The sequence below is a fragment of the Homo sapiens genome, chromosome 10, assembly GCF_000001405.40.
Source record: "Homo sapiens chromosome 10, GRCh38.p14 Primary Assembly".
Lineage (NCBI taxonomy): Eukaryota > Metazoa > Chordata > Mammalia > Primates > Hominidae > Homo > Homo sapiens.
Genome location: NC_000010.11, coordinates 101,914,373 through 101,941,217, shown reverse-complemented (window position 1 = coordinate 101,941,217; position 26,845 = coordinate 101,914,373). Strand labels below are relative to the sequence as shown.

The 26,845-nt window shown below is 40.3% G+C and overlaps 1 protein-coding gene across 18 annotated transcripts in view, besides 1 other annotated feature; it reads left to right on the top strand.

Annotated features, from left to right (window-relative positions):
* Positions 1–26,845, top strand: part of ARMH3 (armadillo like helical domain containing 3) — a 210,575-nt gene that overhangs the window by 114,956 nt on the left and 68,774 nt on the right. For 16 of the 18 annotated variants that reach the window (XR_001747199.2, XM_047425735.1, XM_011540157.3 and 13 more), the window contains one exon: positions 1,280–1,355. The exons of the other annotated variants lie outside the window; for them this stretch is intronic. Coding sequence is in view for 15 of the 16 variants with exons in the window: in XM_047425735.1 (XP_047281691.1) it covers positions 1,280–1,355 (76 nt within the window). In the remaining variant the exon portion in view is untranslated. The remainder of the gene's footprint in view (positions 1–1,279; positions 1,356–26,845) is intronic. 18 annotated transcript variants of the gene reach the window in all.
* Positions 1,410–2,609: an enhancer, noted in NCBI's record as "CDK7 strongly-dependent group 2 enhancer chr10:103698366-103699565 (GRCh37/hg19 assembly coordinates)". NCBI's record gives its function as "activates an origin of replication core promoter dependent on BRD2, BRD4, P300/CBP, MED14 and CDK7 cofactors, with strong dependence on CDK7, by STARR-seq in HCT116 cells {active_cell/tissue: HCT116}" and the evidence as "EXISTENCE:reporter gene assay evidence [ECO:0000049][PMID:35650434]".

Below are 26,845 nucleotides of genomic sequence, written 5' to 3'. Positions count from 1 at the left end.
GGACCCTGACCATTGGCTTCAGAGATCTTGTAGTTACTTCTCTACATAAATGTAGGCTCTTGAGTCATTTCCCTCCAGGTTTGAATTCCAGCTCCATTACTTACAACTTGTGTGAATGACTGCAATCAGTTACCGTACTTGTCTCCTCTGAGTCTTGGTTTTCCTCATCTGTATGCTACATTACATATAACCTAAGTTGGTCCAGTGCCTGGCACATAGTAAGCTCTCTGCATATTTAGCCCTTATTAATTAGCCATTCATTAAAACATACACTTAGAGTGCCTACCATGTGCTTGCTCTTTCAAGGAGCACTTGTGCTGTTTTGTCTCTTTTCTAAAATGGCATGTGTGGCTCTGAAGATCATAGCTGATAGAGGATATATTCAGGTCTATATTTCTATTATCTTTCCTCTCTGTGTGAGTTTGGAAAAGGGAGAGAATTTGGTCACACAAGGGAAGAACGTTCTTGTAGATTCATTTTGCAGGTCAAACAGTTAAGTCAGAGGAGCAAAAAAAGGTTAATCTGTTCTCACTCATAGGTGGGAATTGAAAAATGAGAACACTTCGACACAGGGTGGGGAACATCACACACCGGGACCTGTTGTGGGGTGGAGGGATGGGGGAGGGATAGCATTAGGAGATATACCTAATGTAAATGACGAGTTATTGGGTGCAGCACACCAACATGGCACATGTATACATATGTAACAAACCTGCACGTTGTGCACATGTACCCTAGAACTTAAAGTATAATTAAAAAAAAAAAGGTTAATCCTTGATTGACACATGACCATCCTCTATGTGGATGTGTCCTGTTTGACTGAGTTTATATGTTAAGGAGTTTATGCATATACATAGAGCAGGAAGGGACATCAACTAAGCCAGCCAGTTCCACTAAATCAGCCCCCACCATTAGGGAAATGATAGATATGGCAACAAGTTTACCCTCACATCACCACCCCAGTGCAGATTGTAAATGCATGCAAAAATTAAGTTATGGAACCCGGTTAGCAGAGGGGAGGGAAAACCTAAGGCAGAGAAGGAGTAGAGTATTTTGATAGAAAGTGAAAAGAAGTTAGAGAAAAAACTGGAGTGAAAATAGTTGCGAGAATTCTATAAGCCCTTGTATTTTTATCTAAGCTGAGGATGTTTTTAACAGAAGATTGGCGCAGGCTTTGTTTGGTTATTCTGAGAGTGCTATTCTGAGATGTGTCTTCATTCCTCATGTTTGTGTTTTATGCCGGGGGTTTGACAGATCTGTGTTCTTTCCTTCTTTGCAGTCCTGAGGCTTTCTACCAATGCAGGCCAGTGGAAGGAAGCAGCTAGCAAGGTGACCCATGCATTGGTTAATATCAGGTAAGGAATGAGAAGTATCTCTTGCAGAGTTCCTTGGCTCTTCCTGAGGTTTATTGTACCTTTCTAAGTAAAGTGTGTTGAACACTACTACTATTTTAAGCCTTGATGTCTGTAGGAGTGGAAGAAAAATTGTCGTACTTGATCAAGAAAAGCAGGAGTACACGAGGCTTTTATTTTATCATATTGAAACAGCTCAAAGTGCTGGCTGTTCTGTGAATTTTTTTACTGAGAGATGGTTATAAGCCCTTTTCAGGCATGCTAGTTGCCAGAGTGTTCTCTATGTATAGGTCATCTGAAAACTTTTCTCCAAAGATTTTCAGCTTTTCTCCATGACTTCAGTGAATGATTCATGGAGATCTAGAATGTTGACCTTTTACTTTACGTGACTATTTCTATTTATGGTAAACAGAGGCAATTGGAGTCCATGGGGCTGAGTCATTTTAGGTTGCTTATGAAACAGCAAGACAATTACAGAGTGCTGTATGTATTGCATAAAGTTGTGTCAGGCATGGAGTTGGTCAGGGTCTTGAGGAGGCACCACCCATGCACAGGTGTGAGCTGTTGGTAAATGGAGAAGAGAAAGTGCTTTCACCATTGGGAAACCTAAATTCGACTTTTCTTCTGTTCGTTGCTCCCTTTGTGCCTTTGATTTTTCATTTTCTCAACAGTTATTACACTGTTCTTATAAACAATTGAAAAATTAACATTGAGTAAAAGAGGCAAACCCAACAGATGGGGAACTTGATTTAGCTCCAGATGTAAGCCTTGCCAGACATTCCTAGTAATAGTAATGCACATTTACAACTTGGTATAGATTCTAATGTGTGACAAAGCTGGTCTGTGATTTTTTTCCTATATCTTTTCTTTCTTTTTATTTAAAGGTAAAATGCCCTGTCCCTGCAGTGATTTACTACCCTGTTTGGCACATCTGGGCATAAAAGGAGAAGTGTGAAATTTGTGTGTTAAGAGGGCTGGGATGAGGGAGCATGGGGTGAGATGTGCTAACAAGATTGCAGTGAAGGTTGGTCTGCCTTACCTGTCACCAGACTCATTTTGCATCAAACACAATTTTATAAATCTCACAAATAAATGCATATCTGCACCTAGCAAATAATCCAGATACTGTGGTGAGGCCTTACGATAAATGCGATTTTCTGTAAGAATCAGGAATTACAAACTGCCTTCTCCCAAATATCTGTTTATGACCCAAGGGCAGCATGACAAATGTGGGTGTTTGAATGAAGCACCAGGTCACCAGGTTCTGGGCTAGGGTATGAAGTGCATATGGGTATAATTTATGTTGTGTTGACTCATTCATGTATTTATGTAGGCCTTCCAGGCAGCTCCTTTTCATCTGGGGCCTGTTTCCTTGATCACATTCCTTTATACTTGCCTTATCTTCTGCTTTTCCTTTCAGTGGTTTCTGGCTTGGCTGCTGTCTGTGTTCTTCCCAAGGGCCATCAAGCAGCTGATTTAAGCTTTTGACCTCTCCTTTTTCCGACAGCTAAGAAAGGACTGGGCTGAGCCTTGTTACCATGTAACTTCTTTCTTCTCTTTGCATGACTGTCAGGCATATACCTTCATTTTCATTCCTTAAATTTCTCTGATGAACTTGCTGCAATAATCACATCATTTTTACTGTTGCTAATAACCGGACTCAGTATACATCTAAAGTAGCAAAAAGATCCAGTCATGGACAGGTTCAGTGGCTCACGCCTGTAATCCTGGCCCTTTGGGAGGCAGAGGTGGGAGGATCACTTGAGCCCAGGAGTTCAAGACCAGCCTGGCCAACATAGTGAGACCCTGTCTCTAAAAAACAAAATAAACAAAGATTAGCTGGGCATGGTGGCACATGCCTGTAGTCCCAGCTACTCAGGATCCTGAGGTGGGAGGATCATTTGAGCCCAGGAGGTCAGGTTGAGGCTACAGTGAGCCAAGATCATGCCACTGCACTCCAGCCTGGGTAACAGTGAGACCCTGTCTCAAAACAAACAAATCAGTTTTCTTAAGAGATTATTGGAAAGAAGTGTTTGAATGTCACCACAGTAAGGCCAGATCAGGGAAAAATACAGGTAGTACTAAGCCTGCAAATGTTTACCCTTTTTTTTTCTGACATCTATTCTCACTTATTAAATGCCAGACTTTGTGCTACTCTTTCTTATGCTACCTTCTTTAATCTTCAAACTCTATAGGGTGTATTATGTACTTTTTAAAATATACTTTTTCCCAGTGAGGAAACTGAGTCTTAAAGATGTTGTATATTGTGGAAGGCCCCATATTTGTTCCTTGGCAAAGCTGAGAATTAATAATAGGTCTTCTTCTTCTTCTTTTTTTTTTTTTTTTGGAGACAGGGTCTGACTCTGTCGCCCAGGCTGGAGTGCAGTGGCGCGATTTCTGCTCACTGCAGCCTCCGCTTCCCAGGCTCAAGCAGTCTTCCCACCTCAGCCTCCCAAGTAGGTGGGACTATAGGCACGTGCCACCAGACCTGGCTAATTTTTGTATTTTTTTGTAGAGATGTGGTTTCACCATGTTGTCCAGGCTGGTCTCAAACTCCTGAGCTCAAATGATCCACCTGCCTTGGCCTCCCAAAGTGCTGGGACTGCAGGCATGAGCCACCATGCCCAGCCTAATCATAGGTCTTCTAAGTCCAAGTTCAGGGCTGCTCTTTCTTGCAAACCATAATGCCTCCTTCTGTAAAGCTGCATTGAAGACTTAACATGGAGGGTTAAACAGAAAACTCACCATGATGTATTGAAAGGAATATGGAAATTTGAGTTGGAAAAACTTATTTTTTTCTTTTGTCTCTACCACTTATTGTGTGACCTTGAGCAAGTTACTTAGCTTCTGTGGGCCTCTATCCACCCTCTGTAAAGTGGGGGTGCTGGTGATAGCAACTATTTCACCAGGTAGTAGTTGTGAGAATTATATAATGTAATGCATATGAAAGCTCCTAGTGAACTATAAAATACTGCTTATTTCACTTGTGTCTTCAAGGTTCATTCCTGTTGTAGCATGTGTCAGAATTCCCTTCATTTTTAGGGTGAATAATCTTCCTCTGTCTGTATGTATCACATTTTACTTATCCATTCATCCGTTGATGGACACTTGAGTTGCTTCTACTTTTTGGTTATTATAAATAATGCTGGTATGAACATGGGTATACAGATACCTGTTTGAGACCCCACTTTCACTTTTTGGGGACATATCCCCAGAGGAGGAATTGCTGTGTCATATGATAATTCTGTATTTAATTTTTTGAGAAATTGCCATAGTTTTTTTTTTTTTAGGTTTAGCATTTTGACCCTTCCTCAGAGTGTTTCCTAAGTACATCTTCATTTCTTCATTTTTCCTTTCTTTTTTTTTTTTTTTTTGAGACAGAGTCTCACTCTGTTGCCCAGGGTGGAGTGCAGTGGCGTGATCTGTACTCACTGCAATCTCTGTCTCTTAGGTTCAAGTGATTCTGCTGCCTCAGCCTCCTGAGTAGCTGGGATTACAGGCACGCACCACTATTCCCGGCTAATTTTTGTATTTTTAGTAGAGATGGGGTTTCACCATGTTGGCCAGGCTGGTCTCGAACTCCTGACCTCGTGATCCACCCACCTCGGCCTCCCAAAGTGCTGGGATTACAGGCATGAGCCACCGCACCCGGCCAATTTTTCTTTTCTATAAAAGTTAAGATATTACCTTAACCTTGAAAGGTGTTTTGCTTTCCTTGGTAGGGAGAACTTGATAGCTTTGAATGAGGGCAGTCCAGGGAGTTTTCTTTTCTCAGTCAGTATTCTCTTAGCAGAGAGCAAAAAATAGTATGACTTGGAAGTACGTACTCCAGTGAACCAATGGTAATGAGTGCTGCCTTAGGCTCCTTTGCCTTTCGCTAATAGCTTGTGTTATATACCCATGACACTACTTTCTGTGGTTTAGAAAACAACCTGTGTCAGAAAATCTGACCTGTGGTTATCCAGGAATACTGTGGGATATTTAACACCAAGTTGATGATCAAGGATAGAGATATAAACACTTAGTAGTAAAATTCTGATGTTGTGCAGCATTTGTTTCTGCTGTTTATAAAAGGTATTTGTGCTGATCCCACACCTGAAAAGGATTTTTAAGGCAGAGTGAACAAACTCTTAGCCACCTCTTCTGTAGTATGTTCTTTAATAACCATGAGAAGGGCTTGGGTTGCATGTGAAGTCTTTAGACAGCAAACAGCTGTGAGGCCTTCCAGACTAGTTTGCCAGTTGACAATAGCTCCAAATTATGTCTTTGAGATCTGGAATGCAGTGCATCTGATGACTACTGTAAGGTAGTGTCTCCCTAGCAGGTGAAAGGCAGCAGGAAGGCTGTAGACCTTTCTGTTCTAAGAATACTTAGTTTAGATTGTGACAGTGAAAGTTAAAAGTACTTCGTCACACTCGGAGCATAAATTTGCTCAAGTGTCAGTCTTTTTGCTTTTCACTTGTCTTTCATGGCTTAGTCATGCTAGTTCTTTAACTGTCAAAGTTATTTGTATTTAAACAATTTGCCTCTCCCTGTTTGATCCTTCAGTGAGATTCTTAAAATGCAGCTGCTTAGAAACTGCTGTCTTTATTGGAACACAAACAGGGCCCTGTATGTTTTCTTCTCTATAGGAGAGTTGTGTCGTTGCTTTGCTATACAAAAAATGTATATATATATATATATATATATATTGCTCCACCTTTGAGATTCCGCTTCTTGGTGTAATTGTTGCTTCAGCTGCTTCCACAGATCTAATGGTTCACAAAGGAGTACTTTGAGGGGCCAGTGCAGGGCTGCTTGGTGAACTGCAGCACAGTAAAGGAGTCTTGGTTTAGGAAATTCAGACATTGTAATTAAATAGTAAGATTTTTAGTTGGGGGCTGCTGTGTTTTAGAGGAGTGTGACTTTAGTATCTAAAACCCGTCCTAAACTTATCCTGAAATTTGGAAACTTTTGTCTGAAGACTTATATGCTAAATATTTCCTGCCAACACTTGGCAGGCAATCCCAGTGAGGTCTTGTACTTTAGGAAGATGTCTGCTATTAACCTTATTAGTCAAAAGAGAGAAAGATAGTAAACTAAAATCTGACCTTCATCTAACCAAACAACTTTCAGGGTAAGTAATTTGAGGCCCTTAATGAATCTCTTCAAATTAAAATTTTAATGCTTTTCACTTAATGAGCATTTTATTAGGACCGAGTTCAAAATCCTGTTCTCTGATTGCTCACAGAAAGAAATAGTGACTGAATCACACTGCAAGTAGGTGATTCTCCTGATCTGTAATTTTCTTAAGTGGATAAGTTTTAACTATGGTTAATGTATTAACTTTTTTCTTTATTTGGAATGCCTTAAGCTGACATTCAGTATTTCTTCAAGAATGACTTTTCAGATATTGTTATGATTAGTGACAAGCCTGGGGTTTGGAATGAGAATTTAGTGTGTTTCTTTTAAATCTCTTAATTATTCACCTAGGGAGTTTGCTTCTTGTCTTCCTGTTCACTTCATGGTCTTTTTGTTCCAGTGCCAAAGTGGTCCCCTCACCCACCCTTCTTACTTGCTTATGTAGCTGTTTTCTTTCACCCTAAAAAACACTCTTCCCCTCATACATGGGTGCGCACATGTGCACGCGCATAGACACACACACACATGGTTAAGTGTACACTGCTGGGGAGGCTGAGGAACAAGAATAGCTTTCAGCAGCCTCTGAGATAATGGGGTTATTGAGTATAACATCCTTTGGAATAGGCTGTGTACAGAATTCTGAATGTCACAGGAAATAAGCCTTCAAGCAGTAATCACTGTCGATAGCAAAGTTAGGGTTAGGAAGGGATGTGAGGTCTCCCCAACTTCCTTTGCCCACTCACCTGTTTGGGCTGAAATCTTTGCTGCATTGCTATAATTCACTTAACAAAATGGTTACCAATGAGAGAGAAGCAGTTTCATGTCCAGGCACTTCAGCTGAAGGATGCAACTTAGTCTAGTGAAAAGTAAATGTGGACTAAATTGATTAATGATAGAAGCAGAGCCATTGGGCTGTTGACTCTTGACTAGCAGGGAGTACATGAACATAACCTTCTATTCTGCAGTTGTCTGCTCTGAGGTGGCAGGTAGGCTCATATTATCTTCACTGAGTTAGAATTTATCAATCATGACCTTTTTTTTTCTGTTAATCAGACCCTGCTGATCTCCCATTAGAGAAAATGAAAAGCATTATGCAGATTAAAACAAAGCACCAAAATGAAGCTGGTATAATATTGTTTACCCAATGACTGGGAGCATTACATATCATTGTAATGGTTGCTGTACCCTAATCTCTTAAGACTACAGCTAGAATTAAAAAACCAAATACTGAATCCCATGTGGTTAATCATCTGTTTTACCTTAGTTTGGTTTATGCTGCAAAATGAAGTTTTACAATAGGTCATAGCTGGACTTGGTGAACTGCAGTGAGGTAAAGAAGTCTTAGTTTAGGAGATTCAGACATTCATAATTAAATATTAAGATTTTTAGCTGGAGGCTGCTGTGTTTTAGATGAGTGTGACTTTAGCATCTAAACCCCCTCCTAAACTTATCCTGAAATTTTCTTAGAGTCTTTTTCTATGTTTGCCCTATTTTTTATTACTTGTGATAAAAATACACATAACATAAAATTTACCATTTTAACGATTTTTTTTTAAATTGAGATAGAGTCTTGCTCTGTCGCCCAGGCTGGAGTGCAGTGGTGCAATCTCCGCTCACTGCAAGCTCCGCCTCCTGGGTTCACGCCATTCTCCTGCCTCAGCCTTCCGAGTAGCTGGGACTACAGGTGCCCACCACCACGCTAGGCTAATTTTTTGTATTTTTAGTAGAGACGGGGTTTCACCGTGTTAGCCAGGATGGTCTCGATCTCCTGACCTCGTAATCCGCCTGCCTCAGTCTCCCAAAGTGCTGGGATTACAGGCGTGAGCCACCGCTCCTGGCCCATTTTAACCATTTTTAAGTGTACAGTTTAATGGTAAGTACATTCACATTGTTGCACAACCATCACCAACATCCATCTCCAGGGCTACTTCTTTTTCTTCAACTGAAACTCTGTACCCATTAAATACAAACTCCCTATTCCCTCTTTCTCCCAGCCTCTGGCTATTATCATTCTGTTTTCTGTTTCTATGAATTTGACTATTTTAGGAACTTTATATAAGAGGAATTATAAAATATTTGTCCTTCGTGACTGGATTATTTTGCCTAATATAATATTCTCAAGGTTCGTCCGTGTTGTAGCATGTAGCAGAATTTCCTTTTTAAGGGTGAATAATATTGCATTGTATGAATATACCACATTTTGTTTCTCCATTTTCGTGTCAACGGACACTTGGGTTGCTTCCACCTTCTAGCTATTGTGACTAATGCTAGTGTGAACATGAGTGTATGTAAATCTCTTTGAGACTCTGCTTTCATTTCTTTTGGGTATGTACCCAGAAGTGTTATTGCTGAATCATATGGTAATTCTCTGTATAACATTTTGAGTAACTGTCACTCAAAGTGGCTGCACCATGTTACTTTCCAATTTCTTCACATTCTTCCCAACACTTGTTTTCTGTTTCTGTTTTTGTTTTTTGCTCTGCCTCTCTCCTGTTTTCCATTTTTTGGTTACTAGCCATCCCAGCGGGTGTGAAGTGCTATCGCATAGTGACTTTAATTTCATTTTTTTAAATAACTAGTGATGTTGAGCATCTTTTTATATGCTTATTGGCCATTTGTATATCTTCTTTGGAGAAATGTCTATTGAAGTCTTCTGCTCATTTTTTAATGGAGTTTTTTGGTGTTTTGTTGTTGAGTTTTAGGAGTTCTTTATTCTAGATATTAATTCATTATCAGGCATATGATGTGCAGATATTTTCTCCCATTCCATGGGTTGCCTTTCATTTCATTGATGGTGTCCTTTGATGCACAAGTTTTTAATTTTGATGAAATTTAACTTAGCTATTTTTTCGCTTGTTGCTTATGTTTTTGTTATCACATCCAAGAAATCATTGCCAAATCCAATGTCATCAGGTTTTCTCCCATGTTTTCTTCTAAGAGTTTTATGTTGTTTTAGCCCTTACATTTAGGTCCTTGATCCTTTTTTGTTTTTTGAGGTAGGGTCTTGCTACGTTGCCCAGGCTAATCTTGAACTCCTGGGCTCAATTGATCCTCCTGCCTCAGCCTCCCTAGTAGCAAGGACTACGGGTATACACCACTACACCCAGCTTCCTTTGATCCATTTTGAGTGAATTTTTATATATGATATAAAGTAAGCATCCAACTTCATTTTTGGGCACGTGGATATCCAGTTTCCCTAATGCCCACTGCTTTTTTTTTTTGTGACAGTTTTGTTCTTGTTGCCCAGGCTGGAGTGCAATGGTGCAGTCTTAGCTCACTGCAACCTCCACCTCTTGGGTTCAAGCGATTCTCCTGCCTCAGCCTCCCGAGTAGCCAGGATTATCGGTGCCCACCACCACACTGGCCTAATTTTTTTGTATTTTTAGTAGAGACAGGGTTTCACCATGTTGGCCAGGCTGGTCTTGAACTACTGACCCTCAGATGTGAGCCTCGGCCTCCCAAAGTGTTGGGATTACAGGCGTGAGCCATCGCACCCGGCCCCCACTGCTTTTCTGAGATAACTACAGCTCAGATTTCTTAACTTGAGTCAGGCTGAATTTGGAACTTAACTGTGATTAGAGATAGAAATGGAGCCTCTCCCGTTTTTTCCTACATATTTCCATTCCTTTTTGTTTCTTAGGTTTGCTCATTCCTCTGCTGTTTAAGAGATAGCATAATGTAGTGGTTAAGAGTGGGGACTCTAGAGTCAGGTTGTCTGAGTTTGAGTCCTTGCTGTACCATTACTTTGGACAAGTTATTTAACCATTCTTTCCTTGAGTTTTCTCAGCTATAAAGTGAGGATAACAATGGACCTATGTCATTATTGAGATTACTAAATGACAATATATATAAAGCATGTAGAATAGTGCCTGGCACATATTCAGTGCTATATACATGTTTATTATTATTATTTTTAAAAATTTGTTGTCCTGATTGTGCAAGTCTGGGAATCTTATCAGCCCCTTCCATACCCAACTTTGTTCAGTCCTTTTTCTGTACTCATCTGGGCTTAGTAGGGACCAGAGACACAAAATAATATTTATTTACAAGCTGACATCAGGGGCAATACTGGAACTTAGGCTGTCAGCCTGAGCCTTTGCATCATTGATGGGAAAATAGTTTGGGTGGGAAGAGTTTGTGTTTTCTATCACTTTCAGTCCTTTGAGGAGATGTCTGACCATGCAACCTTGGCTATATCATTGTGGTAAAAGAATGTCTCCAAAATGAATACACGTATACCTGAGAGGCTATTAACCAACATGTTCTTATCTCTGGTTGGCAGGATTATAGGTGGTTTTATAGGTTGGTGCAAAAGTAATGGCAAAACTGCTATTACTTTTGCACCAACCTAATAAGTTTTCTTTCTTGTATTTTAATTTATTAAAACATTTAGCTGTGAACTTTTTTTGTAGATACTCTTTATCAGGTTGAAGAAAGTCCTTTCTGTTCTTAGTTTGTTGGCTGTTTTTATCATCAAAGGGTGTTGGATTTTGTCAAATGCTTTTTTTGCTTCTATTGAGATGATTTTGTGGTTTCTATTTCTTATTCTATTGATAAAACGTACTACATTAATTGATTTTCAGATGTTAAACCTTGCATTCCTGGGATAAATCCTACTTGGTCATGGTGTATAATTTTTATATTTTGCAGGACTCAGTTTGCTAGTACAGGATGAGCATCTCAGATCTGAAAATCTGAAATCTGAAATGCTTTAAAATCTGAAACTTTTTGAGTACCAACATGATGTTTAAGGGAAATGCTCATTGGAACAATTTGTGTTTCAGATTTCTGGATTAGGGATGCTCAACTGGTAAGTATAATGCAAATATCCAAAATTTAAAAAAAAAATCTGAAACCTAAAACTCTTCTGGTCCCAAGCATTTTGGATAAGGGATATTCAGCCTATGTTTTATGTCCATATGCAATATCTGCAGACCAAAGAGGTATTGCTATCTCATTTTTTGTTCCTCTGATCCTTCTTTACTGCTTTCTTTTGCATTAAGTGAATATTTTCTAAAAAGCGTTTTTATTGCTTTAATTTTTTTTCACTATTTTTTGCGTTATTTCTTTAGTGCTTGCTCTAGGGCTTACCATACATATCTTAATTTATCGGAATTAGCTTCAGATTTATACTAAATTAATTCCAGTGAAATATAGAAATGTTACTCCTATGCAACTGTAAATAACATACACACACAACACCCACTTCAATAAACTTTATTTGCAGAGGACACTCTTTCCTGAGAAAGTGAGGACTCACTAGAAACAGGACTCTAATTTTGTCCACTTTATCATTTCTGGAGCAAGGACTAGATGATAGTGGGGAAAAAGTCTGTATTTAGATTTTAGATACATACATTTCCTTTGTGGGAGATTTTCTCACATGTAGGTGTTAAACACAGCATTTTAGATCCTGCTTTATTCCTTGGTGAGCTAATAGCCCACAGCTATTTCTTTTCCTTTACTCAAAATGTGAGCATTCAGTGCTCATTGGCTCTTAAGGTCTGCATATTGAGCTTTATAACAAAGTACAAGTACAAAAGTAACAGGAATAATATAATTTTGAAAGGACACAGTACTTAGATAATGTAGTCAAAGAAGGAGTTGTTAGGTGTGTTCCTTTATGTCTGGAGTCTTTAGAACTAGAGTCTAGTTCCTTTATGGTTTGTAGAAGACATTCTTGTACTGTGCTCTTTTTAAAAATTTATTTTATTGGCCAGGTGTGGTGGCTCATGCCTATAATCCCAGCACTTTGGGAGGCTGAGGCCGGTGGATCACCTGAGGTCAGGAGTTTGAGACCAGCCTGGCCAACATGATGAAACCCTGTCTCTACTAAAAATACGAAAATTAGCCGGGCATGGTGGTGGGTGCTTGTAATCCCAGCTCCTCGGGAGGCTGAGGCAGGAGAATGGCTTGAATCCGGGAGATGGAGGTTGCAGTGAGCCGAGATCGCACCATTGCACTCCAGCCTGGACAACAAGAGCGAAACTCTGCCTCAAACAAAAACAAAAACAAACAACAACAACAACAAAATATCTTATTGTATTGTATTTTTTGTTTGTTTGTTGTACTTCGAGAGACAAGGCCTCTCTCTCTTGCCCAGGCTGGAGTGCAGTGGCATAATCATAGCTCATTGCGGCCTCAAACTCTGGGGCTCAAGTGATCCTCCTGCCTTAGCCTTCCAAGTACCTGGGACCATAAGCATGTGCCACTGTGCCTGGCTTGTGCCCTGTCTTTTGTATCTCGTTTTCTCCCACTAAGGTAGGGCCTGCCGATTGTGGCCCGTTTTTATTGGCTCAAATTAGGAACTATTTCTAGAATATTGCTCCCAGGAGAAAGGGAGTCAATCTTGAGCTCAGCCCTCTGTCCTGAATCAAGCTACCTGACTATGAAAAAGATCTCTTTAGTGGTTCCAGGTGCATTCTCTGAGAGTATCATTTGAAGCCTTGTAGATATGGGGCCTCACCCTGTGTAAAGTCTCAGATTTTATAAGAACGTGAACAGCCAACCTGAGGAACCTTATAAGAACCTTTCATTATATTTGTGAGTTAGTTGGGAGAGATCTTGTATGTATCTGGTGACCTTACTTTAACTATTGTTTTGGCAAATGATTAAACATTCCTTTTTGTTGGTTAACTACACTGACATTTTCTCTTTCTTATTTTATTTTATTTTTGAGACAGTCTCGCTCTGCCCAGGCGGGAGTGCAGTGACGCAGTCTTGGCTCACTGCGACCTCTGCCTCCCAGGCTCAAGTGATTCTCGTGCCTCAGCCTCCTGAGTAGCTGAGGTTACAGGGATGTGCCACCACACCCGGCTAGTTTTTTGTATTGTTGGTAGAGATGGGGTTTCACTATGTTGGCCAGGCTGGTCTTGAACTCCTGACCTCAAGTGACCCACCTGCCCTGGCCCTCCAAAGTGCTGGGATTATAGGCGTGAGCCACTGCATCCAGCTCTTCTTTTTCTTTTTCTTTTTGTAGTGACAGGATCTCACTATGTTGCCCAGCCAGGTTGGTCTTGAACTCCTGGGCTCAAGCAGTCCTCCTGCCTCAGCCTCCCAAAGTGCTGGGATTATAGGCTGAAACTTAGTGTTCATCCTCTTTCTTAATGAATTATGCCAAATACTTACTTGAGCCTTTTGGAGGTGGCTGGGAAGGACTGCCTGTGTGACTAAGACAGTGATAATGGAGTAGCTGCTTCCTGATGTCTAGTGGTAACTCAGAGTATGGACCTTGAGGTAAATTTAAAGGGCTGTGTTCTGAGCAGACAGTTACAGATGAAATTGCCAAGAACATTGGAGAAGAAATGGATGATTGGCAGTTTGCTGCAGAATATTATAGCTCTTGGTCCCAGGTAGGTAAGTAAATGGCCCCCTGATGGCAGGAGAGTACATTCTCTCCTTCTCTTTAGGTCCACTGTCTCACTTTATTATTTCTGTAAATATGTATTTAGACAGCAGAGGCCTTGGGTTTGCACTTGTGCCATTAGTAATTGATTGGATCTCCTACCTATAATTTTATAGTATGATAAATTAACTTTAATTTTTAGTCTTAGCTTTAACTTTTTATGGGTGTCTGAAGTGAGCCATCTGACATATGCCTTTTATTCTGCTAAGCTTTTAATTAGCAGGACCTACCATATGTTATTTCCAATTTCTTTAGGTAAGCATCAAAATTATGGGAAGAGAGAGATTGAGAGGGGGAGAGTGAATGAGAAGCAGTGTAGAAGAAAGGTATTTCCAGTGGACTCATTCTATAATGGGGTCATAGGGATGAGAAGGGGCTAGAGTCTATATACCAATCCAAACCCTATCATTCCTGGGCGTTTGTTCTTTCCCGGCCAGCTCTCCCGAGCCTCTGGCTCTCTGGAGATGGGCTGCTTTGGCTGGCATAACTATCCCTGATCCTTTAGGGTTGTGCTACTCCCTAATTATTATTAATTCCAAGGTAGGAAAAAAAATTTTGTTTTCACCTGAGAAAAGGTTAATTTTTTTCCCCAAAGGAACTCTTCCTAGGAAATGTAGCCATTGAATTATAAAATACTGGCTACTAGTTATAACTTTTATAAGGTCTAGCCACAAAGTGTATAAACAGGCATAGTTTAGGTCCCTAATTCCTTTCTCTTTTCCATTCTATATCTAGGGTACTTAAAAAATAAATTATTTTAAAACCATGTGCAGTTTTTCATCTTATCCCTTATTTTTCCCTCTCCACATATCTTTCCCAAAAGTTAGAGTAGAGCTCTGGCCATATAACTCAGATATTCAATCACTCTAAATTCTCATGTTTGGCTGCATGTGGTGGTTCACACTTGTAATCCCAGCGCTTTGGGAGGCTGAGGCAAGAGGATCACTAGTTTAGCCTGGACAACATACAAAAAATAAAAAAATAATTAGCTGGGCATGGTAGCACATGCCTGTAGTCTCAGCTGTTCTGGAGGCTGAGGCAGGAGGATTACTTGGGCCCAGGAGTTCGAGGCTGCAGTGAGTTATGATCACACCACTGTACTCCAGCCTGGGCGACAGAGTGAGACCTTGTCTCCAAAAAATAAAATAAAATAATAAAAAATAAATTATCAGGTTTATATCAGAATGGCTAAGGTACCAGAGCTCGTCTTTTCTATTGGGCCTTGCCCCTGCAGGTTAGTAGTTCCTGGATCACAGAACCTTAAACACTGAAAGAACCTAAGAGGCCATCTATGTCAGTCTCCTTCCCAAAGCATAAATCTCATTTGTTGGAGATATATTCAGCTTCTGTTTGAATACTTAGAGAAACAGTGCTTAATACTTTAGGTTCCAGACCATTCATTCATTTTTTATTTATTTATATTTTTTTTGAGAGGGAGTCTTGCTCTGTTGCCCAGGCTGGAATGCAGTAGCACAATCTCGGCTCACTGCAACCTCCGCCTCCTGAGTTCAGGCAATTCCCCTGCCTCAGCCTCCCTGGGTAGCCGGGATTACAGGCACCTGCCACCATGCCCAGCTAATTTTTTGCATTTTTAGTAGAGATGGGATTTCACCATGTTGGCCAGGCTGGTCTCGAACTCCTGTCCTCAGGTGATCTGCCCGCCTTGACCTTCCAAAGTGCTGGGATTACAGGCTGAGCCACGGCCCCCAGCCCGTTCATTCTTTTAAATGATGAGTATCTCATATGTTGCAGTCTTTCTCTTTATAACCTGAACCTGTTGATTCCATTTCTGCCTTTAGTTACAACACTAAAAAATTTACCCTGTTTTCTAAATGTTAACTTCTTCAAAGGAGTAACATGTGTACTACTGCTGAACATTCTTTCTCTCTCAGCTATTCTTCATATGCTATGGTTTCAAAATCTCTGACATACTATGATTGTCCTTTGGACATATTCTTACTTCTTAATTTATCTCCTAAAATATGGTGTTAGGGTCTGCCTTATACCAAATAAGCATTCAGTGAATGTTTCCTGCATTGAATGACATCTAGAACTGGAACCTAGATATGTAGCTCAGATTACAAGGAGACTATTTATACGCATGATATGGACATATTTTATTTGCAGCCTCCAATTGCATTATGTTATTCAGCAGCTGAATCACATTGTTGGTTCATAGCAAACTTGAGTCCCACTAAAACCTTCAAATCTGCTTAAAGTGACCTGCCTTCAAGCTAGTTCTCTCCCGTCCTACACTTGTTCAGTTGATAGTGGTATTTTGTTTTGGTTTGTGTGGTGCTGCTTTTTATTTTATTTATTATTATTATTTTGTTTTGTTTTGTTTTTTGAGACGGAGTCTCTCTCTATTGCCAGGCCAGAGTGCAGTGGCATGATCTCGGCTCACTGCAACTTCCTCCTCCGAGGTTCAAGCAATCCTCCCGCCTCAGCCTCCCAAGTAGCTGGGACTACATGTGCGTGCCACCACACCCAGCTAATTTTTGTATTTTTAGTAGAGATGGGGTTTCACCATGTTGGCCATGATGGTCTTGAACTTCTGACCTCAGGTGATCCGCCCACCTTGGCCTTCCAAAGTGTTGGGATTACAGGCATGAGCCGCTACTCCTGGCCATATTTTATTTTATTTTATTTTAATGCTACTTGCTTATTATTAAGAAAATGTAAGCAGGCTGGGCGTGGTGGCTCACGCCTATAATCCCAACACTTTGGGAGGCCGAGGTGGGCAGATCACGAGGTCAGGAGATTGAGACCGTCCTGGCTAACACGGTGAAACCCCGTCTCTACTAAAAAAAAAAAGCCAGGCATGGTGGCGGGCGCCTGTAGTCCCAGCTACTTGGGAGGCTGAGGCAGGAGAATGGCATGAACCTGGGAGGCGGAGCTTGCAGTGAGCTGAGATCACGCCACTGCACTCTAGCCTGGGCGACAGAGCAAGACTCTGTCTCAAAAAAAAAAAAAAAGCAATGCAGAAAAGCACAAAGACCAAAGTAAAATAAAATTATCTAAAATCTCACCCTTCAAGATAGCTACTATTGTTATTTTGGTGAATCTCCCCTCTGAACATCTACAGTTCGCTTTTTTCTTTTTAAACTAACCTATATGCAACACTTTATTTTTGTTAAATGTATTTTGTTGGTTTCAGCCCATCATTCTAGCTTCTCAGGGTATTTTTCGAATCCTGATTATGTCATTCTGTGTATTTGTTATCTTTTGCAGCTTTGTATCATCAGCACATTTAATAAATACGCCTTCTACATCTTTATCCAGATGCTTTGATCTATTCCTGACTCTGCTACTGATTTGGTGGATAATTTGGGACTAATCTCTCCCCTTTCTGGGCTTTGGCCTGCTGTTATATGAAATGGCCTTGAAGACTGAAAAAATTCCTTACTTAAGAATCAACTGCAAAGCTCTTTGTGAAGAATGAATTTGTGAAGAAATCTGTGGGTGGGGGAATCATCAGGGCTAGACTAGAAAAATAAGACTCTTTTATGGAAAAGTCAGGGATGACAACCTTCATAGGGTGGTTTAAATCTTCCTGTAGCCTCCTACTCTCCCAAAACCGCAACAGAGGGATTCACCATTTGGATAATTTGAAAAAATAAAATAAGATTGTAGCAAGCATTAGTTCTTTTGTTGAGAAATTAGACCATAACAAGTAAAGGGCAGTAAAAAAAGACATTTTTGGAGTGAGAGTAGGTGGGAGAATTTTACTGAGAAAGAAGATGCTCTTCACTGTTTTCTCTTTTAATTAGTAGTAAGCTTGGGGGTTACAATACAGGCTCTTCTGAGTTGGGGTCCTTAGGGAGGGAAAAGTGTGCAACTCACTGCTGCTTGCAAATTCTCCCCTAAACAAGCCTTGCTAGTGTGTGCATTTCTCTGCATTCTTAAAGAAGGTGTGATAATCTGAAACTGAAACTGAGGCAGCATTTTAAGCAGGCAATTAATGACATGGTAAGATTTTTTAGCTCCAGTAGATTAATTGTTAAATGAATTGTGTCTGCATTTTACTGTCATTTTACTGTGCTATCAGCCTAATTATAAATATAGTGTTACATAGTGGAAGATAATAATAAGCAGAATTATGCACTCAGTGATCAGATTTCAGGAATTTCTAACACTGAGGCCTTTTCTTCTTAAACTGTCTCTTGCTGTTCTTTTCATGTAGGTTTTGATTAATTTTACCTCGATTATACATTTCTCCCTGGAGTCCAGATATTGTGCATGCTCTAGCAAAGTGGGCTCCTGTTGTAAGAGGTTTAATGAGAGTTTTTTTTTCTAATTGGTTTCTATATAATTTCTTTTAAAACCACTAACATGTGAGTGGGATGTCAAACATGGAGTGTACTAATGCATTTTCACTACCCAGTGTACCGAAGGACATTAATTTCTCTCTCATTAGACACCATTTTCATATGATGAAAATTCTCAATCTCAAGGAAGCTCCAAAGACAGTTGGTTCCCATTGTTCTCCCCTCACATGCATTCATCTTGGTGACACATCTGAAAAGGCAGCAGGAGTAGCTATCTGTAGTTGGATCTCATTTCTGACCAGTTTTGAATGTACTTCATCTTTCTTGTGAGATAATTTACTAGATGGGATTCAGATAGGGATGGATTAAAATCTGTTCCTTTTACCCAATTAATCTGAACTAATTTCCTACTTATGCAAAAAATGAACTATTTGATAAATTCTATTAATGAATATATATAATAAAACTTGACATAGAATGAACATAGATGAACCACTCACCTTAAGAAATAGAAGGGGCTGGGCACGGTGGCTGTATTACACTTGTAATCCCAGCACTTTGGGAGGCCAAGGCAAGAGGATCACTTGAACTCAAGAGTTTGAGACCAGCCTGGGCAACATAGCAAGACCTTGTTTCTACTAAAAATAATTTTTAAAAAATTAGCTGGGTATAGTGGTATGCACCTGTAATAGTCCCAGCTACTCTGGAGGCTGAGGTGGGAAGATTACTTGAGCCCAGGAGATCGAGGCTGCAATGAGGTATGATTGTGCCACTGCACTCCAGCCTGGGTGACAGAGTAAGACTCTTTCTCAGAAAAACAAAAAAGGAATAGAATGTTACCAACTCACTGAAACTCAATCTTTATTTCCTTTTTAATTGAGATATTGATATATGGTAAAATTTAAAAATCTTAGAAGGTGTGTAACTGGACACCTTTTTAAAATTGATGTATAATATTTATATGTTTTTGTAGGGTACACGTGATATTTGGTTACATGCATAGACTGTATAATGAACAAGTCAGGGTATCTTGGGTGTCCATCATCACCTTGAGTATTTATCATTTCTGTGTTGGGAACAGTTCAAGTCCTCTCTTCTAGCTATTTTAAAATATATAGTACATTGTTGGTAACTGTAGTCACCCTACTCTGCTATTGAACATTAGAACGTATTCCTTCTATCTAACTATATGTTATATCCATTAACGAACCTCTCTTTATCCACTCTATCTGCACCCCTGCCTTCCCAGCCAGCCTCTGGTGTCATTCTACTCTGTACCTTCATGAGGTGAACTTTTTAGCTACTACCTATGAGTGAGAACATGCGAAATTTGTCTTTCTGTGCCTGGCTTATTTCACTTAACATAATGACCTCCTTTTCCATCTGTGTTGTTGCAAATGACTTGATTTTATTCCTTTTTATGGCCAAATAGTATTCCATCATGTGTATATACCACATTTTCTTTATCCATTTGTCCATTCGTAGACACTTAGGTTGATTCCATATCTTTGCTATTGTGAATAGCTGCAGTAAACATAAGAGTGCAGGTATCTCTTTGATATACTGATTTATTTTTCTTTGGATAAATACCCAGTAGCGGTATTCTAAACAGCTTTTTATATATGTATACCACCTATGTAAATCACCATCCAGATCAGGACATAGAACCCCAGAAAGTTCAACCTAGAAAGTTCCCTCATGACCCTTCTTTTCCAGTCAGTAGTCCCTTTCCCCAGAACTATGCCCTCTCCTGATTTCTGTCACCACAAATTAGTTGTACCTGTTCTGGAACTACATATGAACAGAGTCATATAGTGTGCCTTCTTTTGTGTCTGACTTCTTTCACTCAATATCAGGTTTTTGAGATTCATCTACTTTGTGGTATATATCAGTAGTTCAATCCTTTTAAAAAACGTTTTTAAGATTTTAAATTGTGGTAAGAAATATAAAATTTGCCATCCTAATGATTTGTTAAGTTTGGTAGCATTAAGTATATTGACATTGTTGTGCAACAGATCTCTAGAACTTTTTCATCTTGCAAAACTGAAATTGTACTGATTAAACAACTCCCCATTTTCCCCTTCCCCAGCCCCTGCCAACCACCATTCTACTTTGAGTCTCTATAAATTTAACTATTTTAGATACCTTATAGTGGAATCATAGTGTATTTATCTTTTTGTGACTGGCTTATTTTGCTTAGCATAATATCCTCAGGGTTCATCCATGTTGTAGCATATGTCAGAATTTCCTTCCTTTTCAAGGCTGAATAATGTTCCATTGTATGTATATACCACATTTTGTTTATCCAGTTATCTGTTGGTGACCCTTGGGTTGCTTCTGCCTTTTGGCTACTATGAATGATACTGCTCTGAACATTGCTTGTGCAAGTATCTAGTAGTTAGTTCCTTTTTATTGCTGAGCAGTATTTTATTATTGCATAACTGTACCACAGTTTATTTATTGTTCATATTTCTTTTTCACTTGGATTCTCATAGTCTCTGATCTCACCTGTCATCTTGCCTGCCTCTTTCTGTCTCGTTTTTCTCTCTGTGCTTGTCCCCTCGCTGGCCCCTCTCATCACCACAGAAAAACATTTAAGCTCTGTAGGGTAGCCTGCATTGCCATTCTTCATCTTATTTCTAGAATCTCTGTCCTTATCTGTCACCTCACTGCAGCTATGCCAGACCACCTGGAGTTCTCTGGACAAACCAGAGACACTTAGAATTCTCTGGACAAACTGTTTTATAGTCCAGGCCTTTTGGATATACCATTCCTCCCTGCCTAGAATGTCCTTTCCCAACTTGTCAACTCACCTCCTGAAATAGTGCATTTTGAGCATCACTTCATCCTTAGAGCCAGGCCTGGCCACACTACAGCAGCAACTGTCTACTTATCTGTTGTCCTCTTGACTAGGCTGTGAGCTCTTTGAAGGCAGGAAGCATCTATGTCTCACTCATCTTAGTGACACATTGACTCTTTCTCGAAAATAGATAAACAAACATAGAGTTCCTTTCTCTTAGAGAAGTGAGGATTTAGGATATTGGTTGGGCCTGATCTAGGATTAGCTGGGAGTAATGGTACTTCAGTTATTGGGCTGATGGAGGGAGCCAACAAGGGCAATTCAGAGACAGAAGCTCAGAGAAACACTGAACAAAAATGCCAGGCGGACTCTCCAGAAGAGAAATTGACTGAAGGGCCAGGCAGAGGATAAGAATCTACGTTAAGCCAGTGGTACAGCCCAGAAATACTAGAGTAAAAGGTTTGAAGGAAAAAGGTAAGGGTTAAAATCTAGAAGAAATGCTCTGGGATAAATAGGATATCTGCAACAGCATTTCTTAAATAGTGAGCAGAGACAAGGTGGAGTGTGAAAAGCACAACTCTCCCGGTACAGTTTAGTAAGTATTGAATGTTTCGTAGGATCCAGCATTGGAGATCAAGCAGGTCAGTAAAGAACAAACCACTGTGCCGCAGCCACCAGAAGCCTGGAACTTTGCCATGTGCTTCAGCCTACAGGGGTCTGCTAAGAAGAGAAGCAAAGCCCTCTAAGAACAGCACAGAGAGAAATAAAGTCAGCGAGAGATGGGACTATTAAGGGAAAGGCTTATAAAGTGCTGTGAGCTTCGTTGGCAAAGAAAGGGCTGTTCATCTAGTCTCGAATGTAGCCAAGCAGAGAGGGAGCTGGGAAGAAGGAGATATGAAGATAGCCTTAGCTAATGTGTGTCACTCTGCCTTTGAATGACCATTCAAAACATCAGCCTGTTGGTGTTCTTCAAACTGGTGAGGCTGTTGGGGGCTCAAGGAAAATGGGTCATTGTTTAAGACAAAAAGAAAGGAAGGGACGGAGAGAAGGAGAGAAGAAAGGGAGGGAAGGAGGGAACAAAGGAATTTCTTTGAGTTAAATCTCACTGCGTTGATATGCCCCCTCCCCCTTTTTGCTTGTTCTGAAGACCAAAAGCTCTGTTTTCTTCTGCTGAGGGTCCTCCCTTTGGGGTTTTGGTAATATCTGTGATCTATAATTGTTACTCTTAATACTAAATATTTTCACAAGTCATTTAATTATCTATAGATTTGACTAAACTGACCTAGATTTAGATTTAGGTTAAGCCTTCCATGCCTAATGCCACATACCTGTGCCCCACAAACCTGAGCTCTTTGAGTGCTGCAGGACTATAACTTGATTTGAAAAGCTGGATGTTCTTTTTCATCAGAAATCAGTGTTCTACTAAGCCTGTCAATTCATTGTCTCCTAGACAATTTTGAATTGGGATAACAAATTAGAGTTAGGGATACATTACAAATGATAAATGTGACTTCCTTAAAGGGAAATCCATTTGTTTTGCTTAGTGTTTCTGTGATTAATTACTTGCCAGATTAAATTGCTCCATAAAAATGCATAGTATTTTATTCGATTGCTCTTCATGGTGATTAATCAGGCCATACTGTTGCTTCGTATGTTAATTATGCTGACATTTTATTCTGTTCTCTAGTTTAATTAATACAGCATGTATTTGAAAGACTGTTTTTAGGATGGGATACTATCTGTTTTAGGGGTAAGAAAGTCCAAACTTGCTTACAGGCTGATGTTAGGGAATTAACACTTCCAGTTTTCTAAGTGGCCACATTTTTTGCCATGATAGGCAAAAAGTAGACTAACTATGAATGAGTTGGGGAAAGCTCTGTTTGGTTTTCCTATAGTTATTAAAGATAATATACTGGATGGCCAGGCGCAGTGGCTTACGCCTGTAATCCCAGCACTTTGGGAGGCCGAGGGCAGCGGATCACTTGAGGTCAGGAGTTCGAGACCAGCCTGGCCAACATGGTGAAACCCCGTCTCTACTAAAAATACAAAAATCAGCTGGGTGTGGTGGTGCACACCTGTAGTCCCAGCTACTTGGGAGACTGAAGCAGGAGAATCGCCTGAAGCCGGGAGGTGCAGGTTGCAGTCAGCCGAGCCAAGATTGCACCACTGCACTCCAGCCTGGGCCACAGAGCAAGACTCTGTCTAAAAAAACAAACAAACAAACAAACAAAAAACCCCATGATATACTGGAGATTCTTGGCTCAATTGAAAATTGATTATTAAGAACACAGAGAAGAAGCTGTTGATGCAAAATGAACTGCAAAACGACTGTAAACCTAAATGCCAGTGTGGGGGCTGGGGTGGTTGGGAAAGATTGTTATTTCCTGGGATGCTGCAGGGTGCTGATGAGGAACAGGCATATTTAGCATTTGTATTAATGAACTAGGGCTGAAAGTAAACAAAGTATTAATGAAGTTTGTAAGTCATACTGATTTGGAGGTGTTTCCTATACCCGGGAGGGCAGAGAAATGATATTGATGGACCAGAAAGAGAAGCATCACAGAAAATAACCCAGCTATTCCCTTGGGAAATTGCATATCTGCTAAATAGAAATAGCATAAATAGAGTCAGGCAGATATTTTCCAAAGTAGACCTTCCAGCAGTCCACTCCTAAATGTTTACCCAAGTGAAATAAAAACTTGGATTGGACAAATGTTTATAGTGGCTTTATTTATACACTGTCAAAACTGTGGACAACCCAAGTGTCTCTCAACGGCGGAACAGATAAACTATGGTACATCTATATAATGAAATACTATTCTACAGTAAAAAGGAATGAACTACTGATACATGCAACAACCTGGATTAATTCAGTTGCATTATGCAGTATGAAACTATCCAGATCCAAAAGGTTACATGCTGTATGATTCCATTTATATGACATTCTGGAAATGGCAAAACTATAGGGACAGGGTATAGGTCAGTTGTTTTCAGAGGCTGGGGTTGGAAGGAGAGGTTGATTACAAATGGGCACAGGGGAACTTTTGAGGTGATGAAACTGTTCTGTATCTTGACTGTGGTGGTGATTATCTGGATGTATGCATTTTTCAAAACTTGCAGAACTGTATACTTGTATCAGGGTTTTTCAGAAAACAGACCAATAAAATATACATAGTTATACAAGAGGAAATAGGCTATGGGAATTAGTTCACATGATTATGGAGGCCAAGTTGTTTCACAATATGCTGTCTGCAAGCTGTAGAATCAGGGAGCTGATGCTGTAGGCTTCCAATTAAAGGTTGAAGGACTGAGAACTTGGGTGGTACTAGTGTAAGTCCTAGAGTCCAAAAACTGGAGAACCAGGAGCTCCTGATGTCTGATGTCTAAGGGCAAGAGAAGATGGACGTCCCAGCTCAAGAAAAGAGAAACAGAGAATTTGCCCTTCCTCTGCCTTTTGTTCTATTCAGGTGGGCTTTCAACAGACTAGATGATGGCTGCTTATATTGGTGAGGGTGGATCTTCTTTACCCAGTGTATGGATTCAAATGCTAATCTGTCTCCTGGAAATACCCCTGTCAACACACTCAGAAATAATGATTTACCATTAAGGGATCCCTTAATCCAGTCAAGTTGATAATAAAATTAACCATTACAACACTAAAAAGGGTAAGTTTTGCTGTATGAAAGTTATTCCTTAATTTTAAAAATCAGAAAAAGAATAGTTCTTCACAGGGAAGGGTAAGAGATTCAACTTCTGACCATAGTTTCCATACTTTATGTGTGGCAACCTTTTGAAAATAATTTGAATGACAGGAGTTATAATTGGAGGATTTGTATTTTCTTCATATTTCTTACAAATTCCCAGGTTTGTTTTGTTTGTTTGTTTTTGAGTGGGAGCTGGGATGGGGGTGGGGGGTAGGTTGCTGATGGTTTTCCTTAGGTGTTTGCATTATATAAATCTATATACTGATGAGAGGGTTATTTTGAGAAGGAAAGCACAATTAAGATCTTGGACCTCATTGATAGCCATCAGACATAGATCATTTCCCCACTTTATGGATTGAATCTAATTATTTGAGTTCTCTGGATTGAGCTTTCATTTTAAAGCTTTGTTATTTCTTCTGTCTGGGCCCTACTACTGTTGAACTGTGTATTATAAGACTTGGAATAGGCCAGGCGTGCTGGCTCACACTGTAATCCCAGCACTTTGGGAGGCCGGGGCGGGCGGATCACGAGGTCAGGAGATCGAGACCATCCTCGCTAACACGGTGAAACCCCGTCTCTACTAAAAATACAAAAAAATTAGCCAGGCGCCGTGGTGGGCGCCTGTAGTTCCAGCTACTCCGGAGGCTGAGGCAGGAGAATGGCATGAACCCGGGAGGTGGAGCTTGCAGTGAGCCGAGGTAGTGCCACTGCAGTCCAACCTGGGTGAGAGAGCGAGACTCCGTCTCAAAAAAAAAAAAAAAAAAAAAGGACTTGCAATAGTGCCAAGGGATATTGCTGTCCCAGAACTAACTTCAGAGACAACTTCCACTCCCCTCTGTACTTAGACTGGGGCAGAAAGCTTCATCACACTGTGGGTTTGTAAGGCAGATTTGCACAATATCAGGGACCCAGGGATAGGTGAACCATGAATGCTAAACTATTGCAGACAGCTACTGTGCCTCCTTCCTCCCTTTCTGCCACGTCTCCAGTGATCTGAACTGTGTGTATACAGTGTTTGCTTCTCATGGTCAACTTGAAATGCCTTCCCAAATGCCAAACTATCTCTATTCAGTTGCTCAGGAAGGGGGCATACATGGTGATAGTAGTATTGCATTACTTGCAGCAATAATACTGAATATTGCTCTGTGGCTGCAACTTAGTGTGCTCACTGCTGACTACTCTGAGCAGATGTGTAGCCATCATTTTGTCTCAGACCAGGTAGGTTACATTTAGCAAGATGCTGATTCCCTAAGTGACTTGCTGAACAAATGTCCCTGGGTCTTTCAGCTGAATGATTTTCAGCACTGGACCTGAAGAGGCTGCTGGGGCCCTCAACCAAGACCCCATCTGTTAAAGCCTCTTATTGATTTGTATCCCTTTTTATAAAAATCTGTCCCTTCTCCTCCTCCTAGTGTGATAAATAATGCAGATATACTAGATGAAGTCTACTATTGGAGCAGGACTTGAATCATTTTGGTTAGAGTTGAACTAAACTAAACAGAAATGAGACTCTCAAATAGCCATCTATGTCAAATGGTTTCTTATTTTCTTATCCTTATTTATCATGGTTACGAATACTTGCAGAGTGTAGAAAGTAACAAAAAGCTGTAATTAACCTTGTAAAAATAAGTTTTAATAGGGAAATAAATTATAAGAATTATAAGATGGCATTATAAGTTTGCTTTTTTTTTTTTTTTTTTTTTGAGATGGATTTTCACTGTCACCTAGGCTGGAGTGTAATAGCTGTGATCTTGGCTCACTGCAACCTCCACCTCGCAGGTTCAAGCGATTCTCCTGCCTCAGCCTCCCAAGTAGCTGGGATTACAGGAGCCTGCCACCATGCCCAGCTCATTTTTGTATTTTTAGTAGAGACGGGGTTTCACCATGTTGGCCAGGCTGGTCTCGAACTCCTGATCTAAGGTGATCCACCTGCCTCGGCCTCCCAAAGTGCTGGGATTATAGGCATAAGCCACCGCACCCAGCCCATTTTAAGTTTTTGACTGAGTAAACAGGTGATAATAAAATGCTGTGAGATAACGGTTTATGTTAGCAGGGTATCGTATCTTTTTTTTTTTTTTTTGAGACAGAGTCTCGCTCTGTGGCCCAGGCTGGAGCACAGTGGTGTGATCTTGGCTCACTGCAACCTCTGCCTCCTGAGTTCAAACAATTCTCCTGCCTCAGCCTCCCGAGTAGCT